Source organism: Homo sapiens, chromosome 4 (assembly GCF_000001405.40).
Source record: "Homo sapiens chromosome 4, GRCh38.p14 Primary Assembly".
Lineage (NCBI taxonomy): Eukaryota > Metazoa > Chordata > Mammalia > Primates > Hominidae > Homo > Homo sapiens.
The window spans coordinates 106087536-106108298 of NC_000004.12; the positions used below are offsets into that span (position 1 = coordinate 106087536).

At 39.4% G+C, this 20763-nt stretch overlaps 1 protein-coding gene across 16 annotated transcripts in view; it reads right to left on the reverse strand.

The window, feature by feature from the left end:
* TBCK (TBC1 domain containing kinase) overlaps window positions 1–20763 on the reverse strand; it is a 275085-nt gene that overhangs the window by 45937 nt on the left and 208385 nt on the right. For 11 of the 16 annotated variants that reach the window (NM_001163436.4, NM_033115.5, NM_001163437.3 and 8 more), the window contains one exon: window positions 7947–8106. In NM_001163436.4, the coding sequence (NP_001156908.2) occupies window positions 7947–8106 (160 nt within the window). Of the gene's footprint in view, window positions 1–3293; window positions 4211–7946; window positions 8107–20763 lie in introns of those variants that run through there. The other 5 variants (XM_047416426.1, XM_017008847.3, XM_047416423.1 and 2 more) reach the window with 1 other exon arrangement.

Here is a 20763-nt window from a genome sequence, read left to right on the forward strand (position 1 = left end):
CCATCACACTACCAGTGACATTCTTCACAGAATTAGAAAAAACTATTTTAAATTTCATATGAAATCAAAGAAGACCCCATATAGGCAAGACAATCCTAAGCAAACAAGAACAAAATTGGAGGCATCATGCTAGATGACTTCAAACTATACTACATGGCTACAGTGACCAAAACAGCATGGTATTTGTACATATAGACCAACGGAGCAGGACCAACATACAGACCAATGGAGCAGAACAGAGATCTCAGAAATAATACCACATGTCTACAACCATCTGATCTTCAACAAACCTGACAAAAACGAGCAGTGGGGAAAGGATCTCCTATTCAGTAAATGGTGCTGGGAAGACTGGCTAGCCATATGCAGGAAACTGGAACTGGCCTGGAGCCCTACCTTATGTCTTATACAAAAATTAACTCAAGATGGATTAAAGACTTAAAGGTAAAACCCAAAACCATACAAACCCTAGAAGAAAACCTAGGCAATAGCATTCACACATAGGCATGGGCAAAGACTTCATGACAAAAATGCCAAAAGCAATTGTAACAAAAGCCAAAATTGACAAATGGGATCTAATTAAACTGAAGAGCTCCTGCACAGCAAAATAAACTGTCATCAGAGTGAACAGGCAACTACAGAATGGGAGAAAATTCTTGCAATCTACCTATCTGACGAAGGTCTAACATCCAGAATTTACAAGGAACTTAAACATATTTACAAGAAAAAAACAAACCATCCCATCAAAAAGTAGGCAAAGCATATATGAACAGCTCCTCCTCAAAAGAAGACGTTTACACAGTCAACAAACATGAAAAAAAGCTCAACATCACTGGTCATCAGAGCAAATCAAAACCACAATGAGATACTATTTCACGCCAGTCAAAATGGTGATTATTAAAAAGTCAGGAAACTATAGATGCTGCTGAAGGTGTGGAGAAATAGGAACACTTACACTGTTGGTAGGAATGTAAATTAGTTCAACCATTGTAGAAGACAGTATGGTGATTCCTCAAGGATCTAGAACCAGAAAAACCATCTGGACCCAGCAATCCCACTACTGGGTATATACCCAAGGAATAGAAATCATTCTATTATAAAGACACATACTCATGTATATTTATTGCAGCACTATTTATGCCCATCAATGATAGACTGGATAAAGAAAATCTGGAATAAAACTGGATAAAGAAAACCATGGAATACTATGAAGCCATAAAAAGGAATGACATCATGTCCTTTGCAGGGACATGGATGAAGCTGGAAGCCATCATCCTCAGCAAACTAATAGAGGAGCAGAAAACCAAACACCGCATGTTCTCGCTCACAAATGCGAGTTGAACATTGAGAACACATGGACACAGAGAGGGGAACAATACACCCCATGGCTGTTGGGTGCTGGTGGGCGAGGGAAGGGATCTTAGAGGACAGGTCAGTAGGTCCAGCAAACCACCATGGCACACATATAACTATGTAACAAACCTGCATGTTCTGTACATGTATCCTTTTTTTTTTTAATAGAAGAAATTAAAGAGGTTTAATTGGCTCATGGTTCTGTAGGCTTTACAGGAAGTGTGGTACCAACATCTTCTGGTGAGGCCTCAGGAAGCTTACAATCCTGACAGAAGGCAACAGGGAGTTAGCATGTCACATGGCCAGAGTGGGAACAAGAGAGAGAGGAGGTGGAGCCAGGCTCCTTTAAACCATCAACTCTCATAACAACTCTCACATGAATTAGCAGAGCAAGAACTCACTTATTACCACTGGGAGGGCACCAAACCATTCATGAGCGATCTTCCCCCATAATCCAAACACCTCCTTAAAAGGCTCCACATTGAACATAGGGATTATGTTATCTCATTTGAAATGAGATTTGGAGGGGACAAACATCCAAACCACATCATTCTGCCTCTGATCCCCTAAGTCTTATGTCCTCCTCACATATCAGAATACAACCAAGCCTCTGCAATAGTCCACCAAATTCTTAACCTGCTTCAGCATTAACTCAAGTCTCAAGTGCCAAGTGTCAAGTCTCACGTATCATCTGGAGATGAGTCCATTGATCCTATGAGCCTGTGAGATCAAAAACAAGTTATTTACTGCCAATATACAATGGTGCTACAGATATTGGGTATGCATTATCATTTGAAAAGGGAGAAATTGGCCAAAAGAGAGGCAATACGCCCACACAAGTCTGAAACTCAGCAGGACACTCATTAAATCTTAAAGCTCCAAAACAATCTCCTTTGACATGTCCTACATCCTGGGCAGAATGGTGTGAGATGTAGGCTATGAAGGCCTTGGACAGGTTTGTCCCTGTGGCTTTCCAAGGTGCAGCCCTCATGGCTGCTGTCACAGGTTGGAGTTGAGTACCTATGGCTTTTCCATACTGCGGTTGCAAGCTTCCAATGGCTCTACCAGTCTCAGGTCTGGAGGGTGGCATCCCACTTCCCAAAGCTCCACTAGCCGGTTCCCTGGTGGGGACTCTGCAGGGGCTCCACTCTACGTTTCCCATTGGCACTGCCCTAGTATAGTTTCTCTGTGGGGGCTCTGCTCCTGTAGTAGGCTTCTGCCTGGGTATCCAGACTTCCCCACACGTGCTCTGGAATCCAGGTGGGAGTTGCGAAGCTTCCTTCACATTTGCATTCTGTGCATCTGCAGGCTGAACATCACATGAAAGCTGCCAGGGATTACGGCTTGCTCCCTCTAGGGTGGCAGCCTGAGCTTTACCTTGGCCCAGTTAAGCTGTGGCCGGAGCCTGAGTGGTCACGATGCAGGGAGCACTGTCCTGAGGCTGTGCAGGGAAGTGGGGTCCTGGGCCTGACCACTGAAACCATTCTTCTTCCCTAGGCCTCTAGGCCTGTGATGACAAGGGCTGTCCCTAAGAACTCTGAAATGCCTTCAAGGCCTTTTACCCATTGTCTTGGCTATTAGCACTTGGCTCCCTTTTAGTCACGCTAATCTCTCTAGCAAATGGTTGCTCTGTAGCCTGCTTGGATTTTTTCTACCATAGGGCTGGGCTACAAGTTTTCCAAATTTTTATGCTCTGCTTCCCTTTTAAATATAACTTTAAGTCTTTTATTTGCTTCCATATATGACTTAGGGTGTTAGAAGAAGCCATACCACTTCTTGAATGCTTTGCTGCTTAGATTTTTTTTTTCTGCCAGGTATCTTGTCATCATAATTAAGTTTAAACTCAGATCCCTATGACATGAACACACTGTTGTCAAGTTCTTTGCCAGGGTGTAACATGGGTAATCTTAACTCCAGGTCCCAATAACTCTCTCATTTCCACCTAAGACTTAATCAGCCTGGACTTTATTGTCCATACAGCTATCAGCATTTTGGTTATAACTATTTAATCAGTCTCTAAGAAGTTTCAAACTTTTACTCATTTTCCTGTCTTCTTCTGAGCCTTCCAAACTCTTTCAACCTCTGCCTATTACCCAGTTCCAAAGCTGTTTCCACATTTTCAGGTATTTAACAGCAACACCCCACTCCTGGTACCAATTATCTGTGTTAGTTTGTTCTTGTGTTGCTATAAAGAAGTACCTGAGACTGGGCAATCTATTAAAAAAAGATGGTTAACTGGCTCACAGTTTTGCAGGTTTTACAGAAAGCATGGTGCTGACATCTATCTCTGATGAAACCTCACAAAGCTTACAATCATGGTGGAAGGTAACAGGGAGCCAGCATGTCACATGGCATGAGCAGGAACAAGAGAAAGGAGGAAGAGCCAGACTTTTAAACAACGAGCTCTCATGTGAACTAACAGAGTGAGAACTCACTTATTACCATGGAGAGGACATCAAGCCATTCACGAAGGATCTGCCCCCATGACCAAACACCTCCCACTGTGTCCGGAACTGGTGGGTTCTTGGTCTCACTGACTTCAAGAATGCAGCCACGGACCCTTGTGGTGAGTGTTACAGTTCTTAAAGGCAGCGCGTCCAGAGTTTGTTCCTTCTGATATTCGGATGTGTTTGGAGTTTCTTCCTTCTGGTGGGTTCGTGGTCTCGCTGGCTCATGAGTGAAGCTGCAGACCTTTGCAGTGAGTGTTACAGCTCTTAAGGCGGCACATCTGGAGTTGTTCGTTCCTCCCGGTGGGTTCGTGGTCTTGATGGGTTCAGGAGTGAAGCTGCAGACCTTCGTGGTGAGTGTTACAGCTCATAAAGGCAGTGTGGACCCAAAGAATGAGCAGTAGCAAGATTTACTGCAAAGAGCAAAAGAACAAAGCTTCCACAGTGTGGAAGGGGACCTGAGCAGGTTGCCACTGCTGGCTGGGGCAGCCTGCTTTTATTCTCTTATCTGGCCCCAACCACATCCTGCTGATTGGTCCATTTTACAGAGAGCTAATTGGTCTGTTTTACAGAGAGCTGATTGGTCTGTTTTGACAGGGTGCTGATTAGTGCATTTACAATCCCTGAGCTAGACACAAAAGTTCTCCACCTCCCCACTAGATTAGCTAGATACAGAGTGCTGATTGGTGTATTTACAAACCCTGAGCTAGACACAGAGTGCTGACTGGTGCATTTACAAACCTTGAGCTAGATACAGAGTGCCGATTGGTGTATTCACAATCCCTTAGCTAGACATAAAGATTCTCCAAGTCCCCACCAGATTAGCTAGATACAGAGTGCTGATTGGTGCATCCACAAACCCTGAGCTAGACACAGGGTGCTGACTGGTATGTTTACAAACCTTGAGCTAGATACAGAGTGCTGATTGGTGTATTTACAATCCCTTAGCTAGACATAAAGGTTCTCCAAGTCCCCACTAGACTCAGGAGCCCAGCTGGCTTCACCCAGTGGATCCCACACTGGGGCCGCAGGTGGAGCTGCCTGCCAGTCCCACACCGTGCACCCACACTCCTCAGCCCTTGGGCAGTCGATGGGACCAGGTGCTGTGAAGCAGGGGGCAGCACTCGTTGGGGAGTCTTGGGCCGGGCAGGAGCCCACGGTGGGTTGGGGGGAGGCTCAGGCATGGTGGGCTGCAGGTCCCGAGCCCTGCCCTGCGGGCAGGCAGCTAAGGCCCGGTGAGAAATCAAGTGCAGCGCTGGTGGGCCAGCACTGCTGGGGGACCTGGCGCACCCTCCGCAGCTGCTGGCCTGAGTGCTAAGCCCCTCACTGCCCAGAGCCGGCCGGCTGCTCCCAGTGCGGGGCCGTCAAGCCCACGCCCACCTGGAACTCTAACTGGCCTGCAAGCAATGTGCGCAGTCCCGGTTCCCGCCTGTGCCTCTTCCTCCACACCTCCCCGCAGGCTGAGGGAGCTGGCTCCAGCCTCGGCCATCCCAGGAAGGGGCTCCCACAGTGCAGTGGCGAGCTGAAGGGCTCCTCAAGTGCAGCCAGAGTGGGTGCTGAGGCCGAGGAGGTGCCAAGAGTGAGCGAGGGCTGCAAGGGCTGCCAGCATGCTGTCACCTCTCACCACCAGGCCAGCCTCCAACATTGGAGATTACATTTCAACATGAGATTTGGAGGGGACAAATAGCCAAACCATGTGTGTTACTATTTTCTGACTTTCTCTGAAATAGGTGTATTGAGATTGTTCTCTGTTGGATGGTAGATACAGTTATATAAAAGATAGGTGAGTGATTTATAACTTAGAAGTAATATCCACTTGCATACTTCTTTAGTATGGTTAGTTAAGTTTCATCATTAAGAATGACTTTCATTTAGTGTCAAAAGTTAATCCTGGCCAGGTGCGGAGGCTCACGCCTGTAATCCCAGCACTTTGGGAGGCCGAGGCGGGCAGATCACTAGGTCAGGAGATTGAGACCACCCTGTCTAACATGGTGAAACCCCGTCTCTACTAAAAATACGAAAAAATTAGCTGGGCGTGGTGGTGGGTGCCTGTAGTGCCAGCTACTCGGGAGGCTGAGGCAGGAGAATGGTGTGAATCTGGGAGATGGAGCTTGTAGTGAGCTGAGATTGCACCACTGCACTCCAGCCTGGGCGAAAGGGCGAGACTCGTCTCAAACAAACAAACAAACAAAAAGTTAATGCTGCTATCAGTCCTGTACTTCTGAGACATGGATTGTTGGATGCTTAAAATGGTTTATGATCAATAGTCTTAAAGTTCTAATCTGACTTTTACAGTTTTAAATTTCTAACAAAGATGGAAAAAACAGACACTGGGCCCTACTTGAGGCTGGAGGGTGGGAGGAGGAAGAGAAGCAGAAAAAATAACTATTGGGTACTAGGCTTAGTACCTCGGTGATAAAATAACCTGTACAACAAATGCCTATGACATGTTTACCTATATAACATACCTGCACATGTATCCCTGAACCTAAAATAAAAGTTAATAAAAATTTATTACAAATTAAAAATAATATACAACACCAAGAGTGAGCCCTGATGTAAACTGTGGACTTGGGATGATAATGATGTGTCAATGAAGGTTCATTAGTTGTAACAAATGTACCACTCTGATGGGGGAGGCTGATAATGGGAAAGGTTGTGCATGTGTGGGGTAGTGGTATATGGGAAATTTCTATTCCTCTCGATTTTGCTCTGTGAAAAGCAAAAACTTAAAAGACTTAAAAATTATAGTGAAGGCATCAAATTTGGAAAAATCAATAGCCTAGTTCCTTACTATGAAATCATATGGCATAGTTCTCTAAATGTAACCCTTACATGTTGTTTTCATGGACTTCATACACACTCGCTCTAGGAATAAAAGAGCAAAGTATTTTCATGTTTCCTTTTTTCTGAGTTTGTATCAGTATGGGGTATGTGCAGGTGGGGATGGGAGGGTTACCTTTAGCCAATATCAGAATTGAATTGAATGGAGGAATTATAATTTTCCAATAAAAAAATTCAAGAAGTGTTTTTTGCCTCCCAGGTGGTAAAATCATGCATACTTTTTATTTCCTTTTTTGGTCTCTCTATATTTTCCAAGTGTTCAACAAAGTGTGGTTATTAGTTTTTATAATAAAAGACATTTTAGGTTATTTCTCTGATTACTAAGAGTAAAAAAAAAATAAAGTTTTAAAGTTCTAATCTGAAATTTTCAGTGACCACATTTCAGGAGTGCTCAAAGGAATATGTACAATCAAGGCAAATATTTTGTCTCCACTCCTGATTTCCCTGATGACAGAATTTTCCTAAGCATATTCCTGGCCTTTCTCTTTGTCCCTCTATTCTCTGTGCCCTGGGAGGTTGAAGGATTTATTTGATTGGTAAATTTGGGAAGGCTCAGTCCTGCTTATCTTCCTTTTAGAAAAAAGCTGTCTGCAGGGAGCAAGTTACCTCTGCTACTTTTCTAGGAGCAGATTCTTCCCTTTTAGAGAAAGATCCTGTACTCGTTCAACGTTGCCTATATCTAGATACCTTCTCTGGCTGCTTGTTTTTAAGTAAGTCCATTTGGCTCTCATACTAAGCTACAGTCTTCAACTTGTCTTTTATTAAAAAATAAAGATATTTTTGGCCTTCATATGCTACTCTTTGTTTTATTTTTCAATTTGCTTAGAACATAGCCATGGAAGAAGGAAGCCATTTTATTGTTTCATGTACTTCTCATGTCTGACAGTTGACATTCTCCCTGAATTCTCTATCATTAAAAAGCTTTGAGTCTCTAGTAAACACAATTTCTAAATCTAACAAATCTCATCATGACCAGCTCTCAGAGCCTACACTTGAACACTACTGTTTTTCTCCAGTGGAGGGAATTCAAGCTACTTCTTTACAATTTCAGAAAGCAGTTAGAAAAAAACAGCCTTAGGCTATTTTGATTTTTTAAGGTTACTGTTGATTCTGATGCTGAACACTGAAGGAAAAATGCTTCAATTAAAGGCAGACAAACTCTTCCATATAAGAACACAGACAAATCTTCAAAGCTCATAGTATTTGTGACCAACTCCTGAAGAAATATACTTTTAGATAACCTTCATATAGAAGGCAGGTAAATCACTCATCATATGTACATATGACATTTCTGAATATACTTACCTCAGCTGTGTGTTTTGCCACATGCCCCACGATGACAATGACCTTCCCTTTGAAGTTCTGGAGCATAGCAGTGTAAGGGCCCTGGGTAAGCTCCCCTTCTGCAGTGAAGGCAGCACTGAATGGAATGTTGATGCTTCCTGAAATGTGACCACGAATAAAGCTGAGAAGGAAAGTTTAAGGAAAACATTTATTTGTGTGCAATCCTGAGTGTCTGAGGGAAACTCACAGAGCTAAGTGACTCCCAGAAGATAGTACTAAACATCTTCCAGCTTATGTGAGTATTTTATCTAAATGAAGTAAGGCACCTCCAGGAGAAAAAAAAAAGTTAAATTTGAAAATGAAGTAGAAAAGAGAAAGGAAGATGACTAGCCAAAGATATAAAAGGATCTTACATCAAAAGCATCTCTCATTACATAAACACAGATATGGGTAAACAATAACTACACTTAAAGAGGTTCTATAAAGAGTGGAGATGGTGGAGATGGACTACATATCTTACAATTTAAATTTTCTAGTCAGCTGCTGCTTCATCTTTTTTTTTAAAGAAAAGGGTATGACATTAATAATGAGAGAAAGAACTGTAAATAAGTTCTGAAAAATGAAAGGAGAGAGAATCAACATTAACATTCCAGTAGGCATTGTTTAGTTGAAGTTTTCTAGAATGGGCAGAGAATTTATGATCATGGGTAGATTACCTTTGAACTTCATCAGCATTAGTTTCTCAAACATTTCTAATTATTCAATATTCCCAATTGCAGTTTTCCTGAAGAGTAATGACTTTTCTCTCAGAATATAATTACTCTGATGGTACTTTTTTAAAAAACTGAAAGTACTTTTATTTTCAGTAAAGATCTACTTAAAATGAAAATTTTTTATAACACATACTAAGAACCTAACAAACAACTCATATATTCTCAGCACCTATATCTACATCTGTGAGGCCTGAATCAGTTGCCAGAGAGTGTTTCCATATTTATCAAACAACCTTTTCAACTATGAACATCTTTCCTTTTTTTAGTGTGTTTAGAGTAGCAAAAGCAATACAAATCTATCCTGGTGAAATGCTGTAGCAGACATGTTTGGGCTGCCTGCCCACCTGCTGTTTTCTTGTTTGGAAGAGCACCAACCACTGACCCTGAGGAAAGGGTGAGCCTAGGTTGTCGTGTTGGTATCAGATGACCCTGCTACAACCATGACTGACAGGATGGTGGAGGGGAGGGTGATGGTGGATATATGATGCAGGCTGAGCCAATGAGATTCTCTCCCTTGAAAATCAGAAATAAAAGACATAAAAGATAATGCTCAGACTGTGTTAAGCTTTACATGTAAAATCACCTTTAAGTGCCTCTTCCATAAAATTTGTTCAGCCATCCATAAAATTTGTTCAGCCACGTATTAGAAAATTAGAAGACCCTGACTCTAAAAGAAGAACTGTTTAATAGATACATTCAGTGAATACTGTATTTGGTTAAAAAAGTACCCATCTATATCTAAATAACCATACCTAGTAACTATATCTATAATCATAGATAAGTATTAAGGTGATTTTGTAGGCTCGATATCACCTATTTATTATGTGCCTTTAAAGAAGATTTTAATCTAAACTCCTTTCAGTTACTAAAAGTATGTCATAAAGTTATTATCCTATTATCCTTGTGATTTATTATTTGTTTAAAAAATCTAGATTAAATATTAAAATGCTTCACAAAATATGACGGCAACAGAGTCTTTTTTGAAAGAGAAAGTTTTTCAAAATACAAAATGATTCCAAACCTTTTTTAGGCTACACTTTGGAAAATAAGGCACAAAAGAAACAGAGTTTTAAACCACACTTTCCTTATTCTTAATCTACTTCAACCAAAATGTCCTGGATAATATCTAAGAACACTCATCCAAGAACACTCTTGTCATGAAACTTATAGCACAAAAATGATTGGGTAAGCATGAATGTCTGTAGACATGGTGGTCAAACCTCTAAATCGTCTATCATTACTGGAAAACAGCAGAGGAGAATGTATTACTGGCAAAAAACAGAGGAGAATGAGATTGGCCTAGTTATAAATAAGTATATTTATAATGAATAGCCTGTTGTTTATATAAGTTGGATAATGAAGACAACTTTGGTTATTTAGAAATCTCTTCTTGTTTCCTTGGAAAGTATTTACATGGCCTACAATACAATTTCCCATGTGACACAGACAGCATTAGGTGAAATAGAACTGCTTTAGGCAACTTCTAGACATTTGAGAGGTGGTCAGATTATATTGTAAATCTAGGTAGGTGAATACTTTTTTCACTTGTTGAGTACTTCATAATCAGAATAAAATATGAGGTATTTGGAAAATGAGCAAACAACAGATTTCTGTATATTTTTTATTAGAAAGAATAAATAAATAAAGAGGAAAATAGAAGAAAATTTTTGACATATGGTGACTCTGAATGACCATAGTTGACTATCATCAGTCATGAGTAAAATCTGGCAAGGAAAGAGACATGATAGAGAATATGTTGAGATAAGCACATTTTTCCATGCTCTAAGAACTTTGGTTTTATTTCACTGTATTACAGTGGAAAACAAGTATACATAGGACCTTCACACAAAGGTAGGGTTAGAGATGAACACGCAACACTACATATTTTTGAAGTATGACTGTCACTTTACTGCTTTCTGTATAATATAGATAAAAATCTGAATCCTCTACACTAATGTTTTACATTTTAAAAAGGCCTTTCTCATTACATAAACACAGATATGGGGTAAACAATAACCACACTTAAAGAGGTTCTATAATGAGTGTAATACTCAACAGTCAGTCACTATGCTATTTTATAAACTAAGAGTTTAAAAAGCTACAGCTTCAAAGAACCCAGTTCAGAGGAAATATTACTATTAAGGAAATAGTAGCCAAAGTACTTATGGGGTGATTAGCCCCAATCACATATATATCATGATACTGTAATCCCAACAATGACATTACAATTTTTGGTTAGGTTTTGGCAAAAGTGGCAATGGTATCCATAAACACTAATTTTTAACTTCCAGTGTTCATAGGAAATTAGAATTTTTTATGACATACTTGAAAGCGTTAAAAGATAAAAAACATCATTACAGAAGTCAGCAGTAATTACAATGAAATCTCTAGACTGGAATAATAATAGTTATGAAAGCATAAAAGCATCCAGTTATTGTAGCAGTCACTTTACCACGTGTTTGGATATGGTTGTTTACTATGCTGAATGCACTACAGGATATATTCCAGTAAACATATGAATTTTCTTTGGCATATGGTGACCTTACACTATATATCTTACCCTGTCTTGGAGTAAGTTGTACCCCTCCCTGCAAATAAGCCATTCAGCTCAATATTCCATTTGGCAGATACTACCAAAAGTATTTGAATGTGTGCTAAGAACAAAATCAAAAATTTGCATTAAACAGAATTTGATAGCCCAATGCACAGACAGATTTAAAAAATTACTGTAAACTTCTGATAAATAAGTTGGATTATCAGAATAGCATTAACAGGTAGGGATGATGTATATTATCTTCTAGGTTTCTAAGATATTAAAACTTTCCTGTATTCATAATTCAGTCTACAAAACAATGCTGTAAGTAGATATGCTGTACTTCAATCAAACAGAAAAAAATCAGGTATAAGAATATAGGTACAGTGTATAGGTAAATTACATGGTAGTTAACCAAGTATGTTCAGAAAGACTCTTCAATTTACAAAAAGATTTGAAAATTCCTTTAAAATATTGTTTAAAATTCAGCACAGAAACCAGCTCATGTTTTTTTACATCCTAAAAGAGCACAGCATTTTTGCTGGATGCCACACTTAGTGACATCGTATCTTTAAAGACAACACACACCAATATTTCACCAAACCATTCAAGAAGATCTACCTACCTTTGTTTTTTGGCTGTTTGTCTGCTGGGTTAACTAATTATAATTAGTATTATAGACCTTTCAGCCCAAACTGAAAGTTTTACCTTTAGTATATCAACAGCGAAAAAGAAATATGAAATTAAACCCACAGTTCTCTCATATATACCATAACTAAATAGCATTAACTGATATAAAAATGATGTTTAGATATCATGATTTTCTTTGCTAAATCTATTGATAGTCTGAATGGCATCACCATCCCCCAAATCAACCAGTCAAAAATCTCATTTCCAACATCTTATCAGTAGCAACATCCAATATTCTACAGCTCTAATAAATCTTGTACTCACATTTTTATTCCCATTACCCCTTGCCTATTTCAGATATTGATTTGTCTTGAGCTTAAACTACTGTAGTAACTGTTTTCTCCAACTTTTGTCTTTTCTCTTGGAAATACACTTGATTTACAATATTGACAGAGAAAAAATTTAAAAGCAAAGTGTTCTGATTATTGTATCCTTTCTGAGAAACTTTCTATGACTGCCTATAGGACAAAGCCCATATTTCTCAGTTCAGTCCTCATGAATAGAACCTAACTACTTTAATTCCAACCAAACTAAATCATGCACTGTTACCAATATGTTTTCTATCTCCTGTAGTTTTCTCTGCCCAAATATCTTTTTCTCATTTTTGCGCATTCAAACATCCATCCTTCAAATGTTTCATCCATGAAAGTTTCCCTTCCCACAGTATCTGTACATATCTTATAACAGCAATTTGATTTTATATAAAATTTTCTAATGAAAATGACTTCTATCTAAACAACTGATAGGAACAATGTGTATTATATTTATTTCGTCTTTGAATCTCTTGCAAGGATTAATAGAATGCTTAGAACATCACTTACATATTTGGTGAGTAAATGAATTTCAGAATTTTGCCAAACCTGGAGTAACTAGTATCGGCAGCAAATATGCTAAGGTGCCTTCTGGCCACCCCAACCAGTGGCACCAGTATCTAACAATGCTTGCAAGTGTCAACGATATAGAATTTCCCTTTGTCAGCACACACTTTGAGAAAAGGGAAAGAAACAGCAACAAAAGTAATTTCTCTCAATCTTCTTCAGCATAGGCTCACTAAAACCGGTTTATTTAGGGAAAAGCTAGGGACCTCACTCTTTATGACAGGATATGAATGAATGATTATACACATCAAATTTCTGGATAATTCAATCCTAATTTTGCCTGCAAGATTATCTCTACCCTCATCCATCCTCTACAATGCATTAAAGTAATTTTTCTGAAATAAAAATCTGAGCATGGCACCTACCTGTTTAGAATTTTTTAAGTTTCTTACTGCCTTTGGAATAAAACCCAAATTTCTTAGCATGTTATGAGACATTTTCAATGAGGCTACTTTTACCTACTCTAGTTTCATTACTAATTCTCATATATTCCAGACATGCTCATCCACAATTCTTGTAACTTCCTAAATGTGTCTGTCTCACCTTCTCTGGGCCTCAAACAATGTGATTTTTCAATGCTTTCTCTCTTTTCTTTGTTAGGTTACTAACTTCTACTTGTTTTTTAAGAATCATGTCAGACATCACCTGGTTTAGGTGCCCATCCTATATTTCCATGACATTTGGGTATGCTTCAGACATAGGCCATTTCATATTATACTGCAATTATCTATTTCATGTATCTATTTTAGTTATAAGACTGTGAGCTTCTGGTGGGCAGGGGTGCTATAACTAAACTCTATATCCCCATTGCCTGGCAAAGCAGGTCCTCAAACAGGACTGGCTGGCTGATTGAATGAGACTGTATGGCACTCTAGGAACTGGGGTCATGGATGGTTCTCACAGCAAATCGGAGCTCTTTAACAGCTAATACACCTTTCATAACTAGCAATCCAGACATGAAGACATTGCTCAGCAGTTGCTATCATATACTCCCACATTATACAAAGCCCACTCAAATATGGGAATACAATTGGATGGAAATTTTAATTTAGATAGATTGAACCTAAGCCCAAATGAGATGAAAAAAACCTTACTAAACCTTCTCATCAGTATCTGTCCTGCTCTGCTCATGAGTATCTTTAAATTGCTTTGAAGAAGTTTTTATAAATCAATTATTAAGGACAAAGAGACAAGAGTAATACTAGTGTTCACTAAGGATGAATGTGCCATAATGAAATAATGAATACAACTGGGTTTATGTGTTTTTCAAAAAACAAATTTAAGCCTGAGGTTGTCTTTGGTATAGTTTTAGATACTAACTTTTTTTTAAAAATCAAAAGGTAAGAGTTTTACAAGTAAAGCTCAGCCTTGAGCAAAAACTCAGCCTTGATTTCAAGCAAATGAGTAACATTCCTTTAAAGTATTGCTGTTTACAGATAAAATAAATTGGATCCACAATTACATGACTAAGACCTCTCTTAATATGAACTTCCAAGAAAACTGAAACCCTAAATATTTACAACTATTAAAGAAAACAAGAGTTTGCTTGTGTATTACCATGGAAACTATTAACATCACTTCTGAAATTCATGTCACTACATGAAAACATTTTCTATTGCCTCCTTATAAAATGCAATTTTTGTTTGCTTTGAAATTCTCAAAATATACTGAAGAACAAATATATCTGACTTGATTTTTACCTAGATTAACATTTCATGTTTCTATCTTCTAAAAGCAAACAAAAAAACGTGATTTCAACAAAAACTGTTGTTTTGCCTCTCTGAGCCTTTGGCTTTAATATTAAGAGTTTAGACTATATTAGGGTTTCTTCTTATTCTAAAGTTTTGGGATTATGTTTTTATTGTTAAGTGGGTAAAGTTTGTCTTCATGTCCTTCAGCTTTCTTCTTCTGTATTCTCCATTCCCTTGGCCCACATTGGGGTTTGGGTAGTTCCCTAAGATTGCTGGCACCTTAATGTGCTGCTTGTCTCCTACAATCACAAAAACTGAACATAGATTAAAATATTACCACCTGCAGGCTTTTTGTATTTTAACTGAGACTATTCATAACACAAGCTAAATGACTGAAGCCTCAACAGTAGCGTTTCAGGCATCAAGTGAAGGTTCTGAAGGGGGCTTGGTGGTAGTAGTGAGGCTGTCCCTTAAATTTATTGGTAGACAGCTTATTTTGCCTGTGGATAAGATTGCCTCCCTCCCTGTCATAAGCAACCACTTAAATCATTTTACATAGGTTAAAAAAAAAGACGAGATGAAATATATTTTTAGACATTAAATCTCCTGGAAGCACAATTTAGGAAAAAAAAACTTCACCTATAATGAAGATGTAAGAACTGTGTTAGGCAAAGACTTCCCATTTAAATGATGTATAAAAGCAAAACAGAAGATAAACATGATACAGGGACATTATAAATAATTTGAACAACATTTCAAAAATAATTTGCTTCCTCTAGGGAAGGAAAAGGTGTTAGAGAAAGTTTCTTTTTTTTCCATATTGTACAGGGTCACATTTTGCGGCAAGAGAGAAATAAAACTATTTCAAAAATATCCTAGTATTAAATATGTAATCACTTCTTAAACAGATTGTTAAAGTCACATAAATCCTAGACTTTAATTGCGAAGATTTACCTTGGTAAGCATTAAGAGTTACTGTACAAAGATAATTACTTTAAAAATATTATTAAAATTTCAATGGGCTTTAAAAAACATCAGCATATTAGTAGCTTTAGGGAAATTTTTATTAAAAAGATTTTGAATGAATTAAATATTATAAATTAAGTCAATATAATAGGGAAGGATCTTTCTATCATGTTTCCTCCCTCAAAGTGTTGCAATACTGCTTTCTAAAATTTGAAATACTTCAGTTTTCCTCGATTCTGTGGCTACATCTGTATAAAGATAACCACAGGTAGATTTGTTCAGTTGGTATCTGGGATTAGTCCTCTTATACACACAGGTGCTGAAGGTAATAGCTTATTTTGTGTGTAAGATTTGAAGAAATGTGTATAACATCTGAATGAATATATCTAGTGTAGAGGAATCAATGCATGTCTCACTGACTCATTAATTTCTATTAACTCATTTGTTTCAATCTTGTTTATGCTTAACTGTCCCTATGCAGAGACCAGATAGGCACCTGTAAAATAGTGTAAAATTTAGAAGCACAAGACTGGCTCTGCAATTACTAGTTATATGGCCTTGGGAAAGTTGCTTAACCTCTTTAAACTTCAGTTTATCAGTAAAACAGAGATAACAACAGTATATACAGCATAGGACTAGCACCATGCTTGGTACAGTGTAAGAACTTAAAGACTGCTATTATTAGAAGTCAATTTACTTCAATCTATTCAAGAAGCAGCTAGTGTGCGTGGCTAGAAGCAGCTAGTGTGTGTGGCTCTCATGGAGAAAAACAGAAGGGGGCAAGTAAATACCACACCTTCAGCTGAAACATCCAGGTATTTGCAGTGGGACTAATCAAGGAAACAACTTGACCTTTAGAGAATGAAGAAAAGTAAGACAGGACAACGACCCACCTGGGAATAACATGGAACCAGGGGATACTCCCCCACCCAAGGGAAGTGGTGAGTGAATGAACGGCCCCAGAAAAACACACTTCTCTCACAGGTCTTTGCAACCCTCAGGTCAGGAGATCTCCTTGTGAACCCACTCCACCAGGGCCTTCAGTCTTCAGTCTGACGGACAGAGCTACATGAAGTCTTGGCAGAGCAACTGCTCAGGCATAGGTGGAGACCCTGAAGCCTTAGATTATTATTGGGCTTTCTGGCAAAAGTAGCTGCAGCTTTGGCAAAGTAGAAGGTTAGACTCCTGTACATACCCGTAGGAAAGAGGCCGAATCCAGAAGGCTGAGTAGCAACAACCCATAGGCCCCACTTCCATGGCACCTCACAAGATAAGACCTACTGGCTTGGGATCCAGCCAGCTACCAGCAGTGGCACTGCACCTCCCTAAGAAGGAGTTCCCAGGGAGATGGGTGGGTTGCCATCTTTGCTGTTCAGACACCTTAGCCATTCCAGCCTTCAGGCTTTGGACAGTCTGAGCTGACTCAGAGCAGAAGGAATCCCACAGCACAGCATAGATGCTCTACCAAAATGTGGCCAGAATGCAAACTGCTTTTTTAAGCAGGTTCTGATCCTGTTCCTCCTCACTGGGCAGGACCTCCCAACCAGGGTCTCCAGCCACTTTGTACAAGTGCCTTTAAACCACAGTCTGAGCTGACTCAAGGCAGAAGGAATCCCACAGCACAGCATAGATGCTCTACCAAAATGTGGCCAGAATACAAACTGCTTTTTTAAGCGGGTTCTGATCCTGTTCCTCCTCACTGGGCAGGACCTCCCAACCAGGGTCTCCAGACACTTGGTATAGGTGCCTTTAAACCACCAACAGGTCCATACCTCCCTGGGACAAAGCTCCCAGAGGGAGGAACAGGCCGCCATCTTTGCTGTTTCACAGCTTTCACTGGTGACACCTCCAGGTTCTGGAAAATCCGAGATGACTAGGGCCTAGAGTGGGCCCCAAGCATACTGCAGCAGCCCTACAGAAAAGTGGGCAGACTATTACATGGGTTCCTGTTCCCACATCTCCTTACTGGGCAGATCCTCCAGGCCTGGGGTTCCAGCCACCCCAACCAGAGCTATCGAGCCAGTGCGAACTCAGCAACTCCCTGCCCAGAGCCTACAGGGGCAAATAAAAGCCTCTCTGCCACTGTCTCTGCAGTGGAACTGCCCTAGCCACCCTTGAACTAATGAAGAAGCAAAGACCTTAACTGTCTTATCCATACCTCCAACAAGCTGCAGTTGAACCAAGGAGAGGAGGCCAGTCCATCTCCCACAGGTCCCACACACTCCCCAAAACTCATCACCAGACAGGAAACTCCTGGCTTGGGCCCACAGAACAAACCTCCATTTTGGGCTGACTTCGCTGAGTGATTGATGACCTGCATCTCTCTGGGGCGGAGCCCCCAGGAGTCAAAAAAAAATGACCCTTGGCCACAACCACTACTAAGATCTCTTCCTCTACTGCCTCTAAGCTGGGGAAGGAATATAAACTCTGAGATCATCCCAGAGCTGCAGTGGGCAGCCCAGGAGTGCCAAGTCATGAACTATAGCAGGCACTCAAGGGGGAGAGGAGCCCACACTTTCAGAGCACTGAGAGGGAACATGGCTGCAACTATGAGGAAACATAAGGGAGCCACACTACTGAACAAAAGTCTACCAACTGACAAATAAGGCTAAGTGTCACCTGCTGGATAAACCCCAAAGCTTCAACACAAAAAATACCTCACTAACGTAACCCACTCTAAAGCCAGAGACAGTCAGTCAGCTTCCAATAAAGACTCTATACAAATACTCATCCCAGTGAAAATATCCAGAAAATAAGTCTATTGACTGTACTCAATCTACACCACAGTTAAAGGAACACCCACATGCAGAGATGAGAAAGAACCAATGCAAGAACTCCAGTAACTAAAGTGGCCAGAGTATCATGTGTCCTCCAAATGACTGCATCAGTCCTCCAACAAGAGTTCTTAATCATGCCGAACTGGCTGGAATGACAGAAACAGAATTCAGAATATGGACAGGAACAAAGATAATCGAAATGAAAAACACAGGAATTTCACAATACAATCTCCAGTATTAACAGCAGAATAAACCAAGCCGATGAAAGAATCTCACAATTCGAAGACTGGTTCTTTGAAGTAAGGCAGTCAGACTAAAATAAAAAAAAAAAGAATAAAAAGGAATGAACAAAGCCTCTGAAAATTATGGGATTATGTAAAGAGACTGAATATATGAATCATTGGCATCCCTGAAAGAGAGGGGAAGAAAGCAAACAACTTGGAAAATGTATTTCAGGATATCTTCCATGAAAACTTCCCTAACCTTGCTAAAGAGGCCAAGAGTCAAATTCAGGAAATACAGAGAACTCCTGCAAGATTCTACGCAAGATCATACATGAGACACATAATTGTCAAATTTTCCAAGGTCGAAATGAGAGAAAGAAGGTTAAAGGCATCTAGAGAGAACTCGGGCAGGTCACCTACAAAGGGATTCCCATCAGGCTAACAGCAGACCTCTCAGCTGAAACCCTAAAAGCCAGAAGAGATTAGGGGCCTATATTGAATGTTCTGAAAGAAAAAAAATCTTTAACCAAGAATTTCATATCTAGCTAAACTAAACTCTCTAAGTGAAGAAGAAATAAGATCCTTTTCAGATAAGCAAATGTTAAGGGACTTCATTACTACCAGACCTGCCTTACAAGAGATCTTGAAAGCAGCACTGAATATAGAAAGATCACTACCAGTGAATACAAAAGCACACTTAAACACACAGACCGACGTCACTGTAAAGCAACCACACAAACAAGCCAACATAACCACCAGCTAACAGCACAATGACAAAACCCAATCCACACATATCAATATGAACCTTGAATGTAAAGGGTGAAAATACCCCACTTAAAAGGTAGAGTGGCAAACAGGATAAAAAAGTAAGACCCAATAATATGCTCTCTTCAAGAGACTATCTCACACATAATGACACACTTATAAGCTCAAAATAAAGGGATGGAGAAAAATCTACCAAAAAAATAAAAAACAGAAAAAAGCAGGGATTGCAATCCTAATTTCAGATAAAACAGATTTCAAACCAACAACGATTTAAAAAAAAAGACAAGGGCATTATATAATGGTAAAGGGTTCAATTTAATAAGACCTAACTATTCTAAATATATATGAACCCAATACAGGAGCACCCAGATTCATAAAGCAAGTTCTTAGAGACCTACAAAGAGACATCGACTCCCACACAATAATAGTGGGAAACTTCAACACTCCAATGACAGTATTATACAGATCACTGAAGCAGAAAATTAACAAAGATATTCAGGACCTAAACTCAGCATTGGACCAAATGAATCTGACACACCTTTACAGACGTCTCCACCCCAAACCAACAGAATATACATTCTTCTCATTACCACATGGCACATACTCTAAAATCGACCACATAACTGGACATAAAACAATCCTCAATAAATGTATAAGAACTGAAGTCATTCCAAACACTCTCTCAGACCACAGCAAAATAAAAATAGAAGTCAACACAATAAAAATCACTCAAAATCATACAATTACATAGAAATTAAACAACATGCTCCCGATTGACTTTTGGGTAAAAAATAAAAGGCAGAAATCAAGAAGTTCTTTTAAAGTAAAGAGAACAAAGATACAACATACCAGAATCTCTGGGACACAGCTAAGGCAGTGTTAAGAGGGAAATACAATATCACCAAATGTCCACATCAAAAAGTTAGAAAGATGTTAAATTAACAACCTAACTTCACAATGGAAAGAATTAGAGAAGTGAGAACAAAACAACCTCAAAGCTAATAGAACTGAGAAATAATTACAAAAATCAGGGTGAAGTGAAGGAAATCAAGGCATGAAAAACTATTCAAAAGAGCAATAAATTCAGGAGTTGGTTTTTTGAAAAAATTAACAAGATAGGCCACTAGCTAGACTAAGAAGAAAGAAGATCCAAATAAACACAATTAGAAATGACTAATGAAATGTAACCACTGACCCCACAGAAATGAAAATAACCATATGCTCTATGTACACAAATAGAAAACCTAGAAGAGATGGAAAAATTCCTGGACATATACACCCTCCGAAGACTGAGCCAGAAAGAAACTGATTCCCTGAACAGACCAATAATGATCTCTGAAGTTCAATCAGTAATAAATAGCCTACCAACCAAAAAAAACCCAGGACCTGATGGATTCATAACCAAATTCTACCAGATGTACAAGGAAGAGCTGGTACCATTCCTACTGTGACTATTCCAAAAAAATTGAGAAGAAGGGACTTATACCTAACTCATTCTATGAGGCCAGCATCATCTTCATACCAAAGCCTGGCAGAGACAC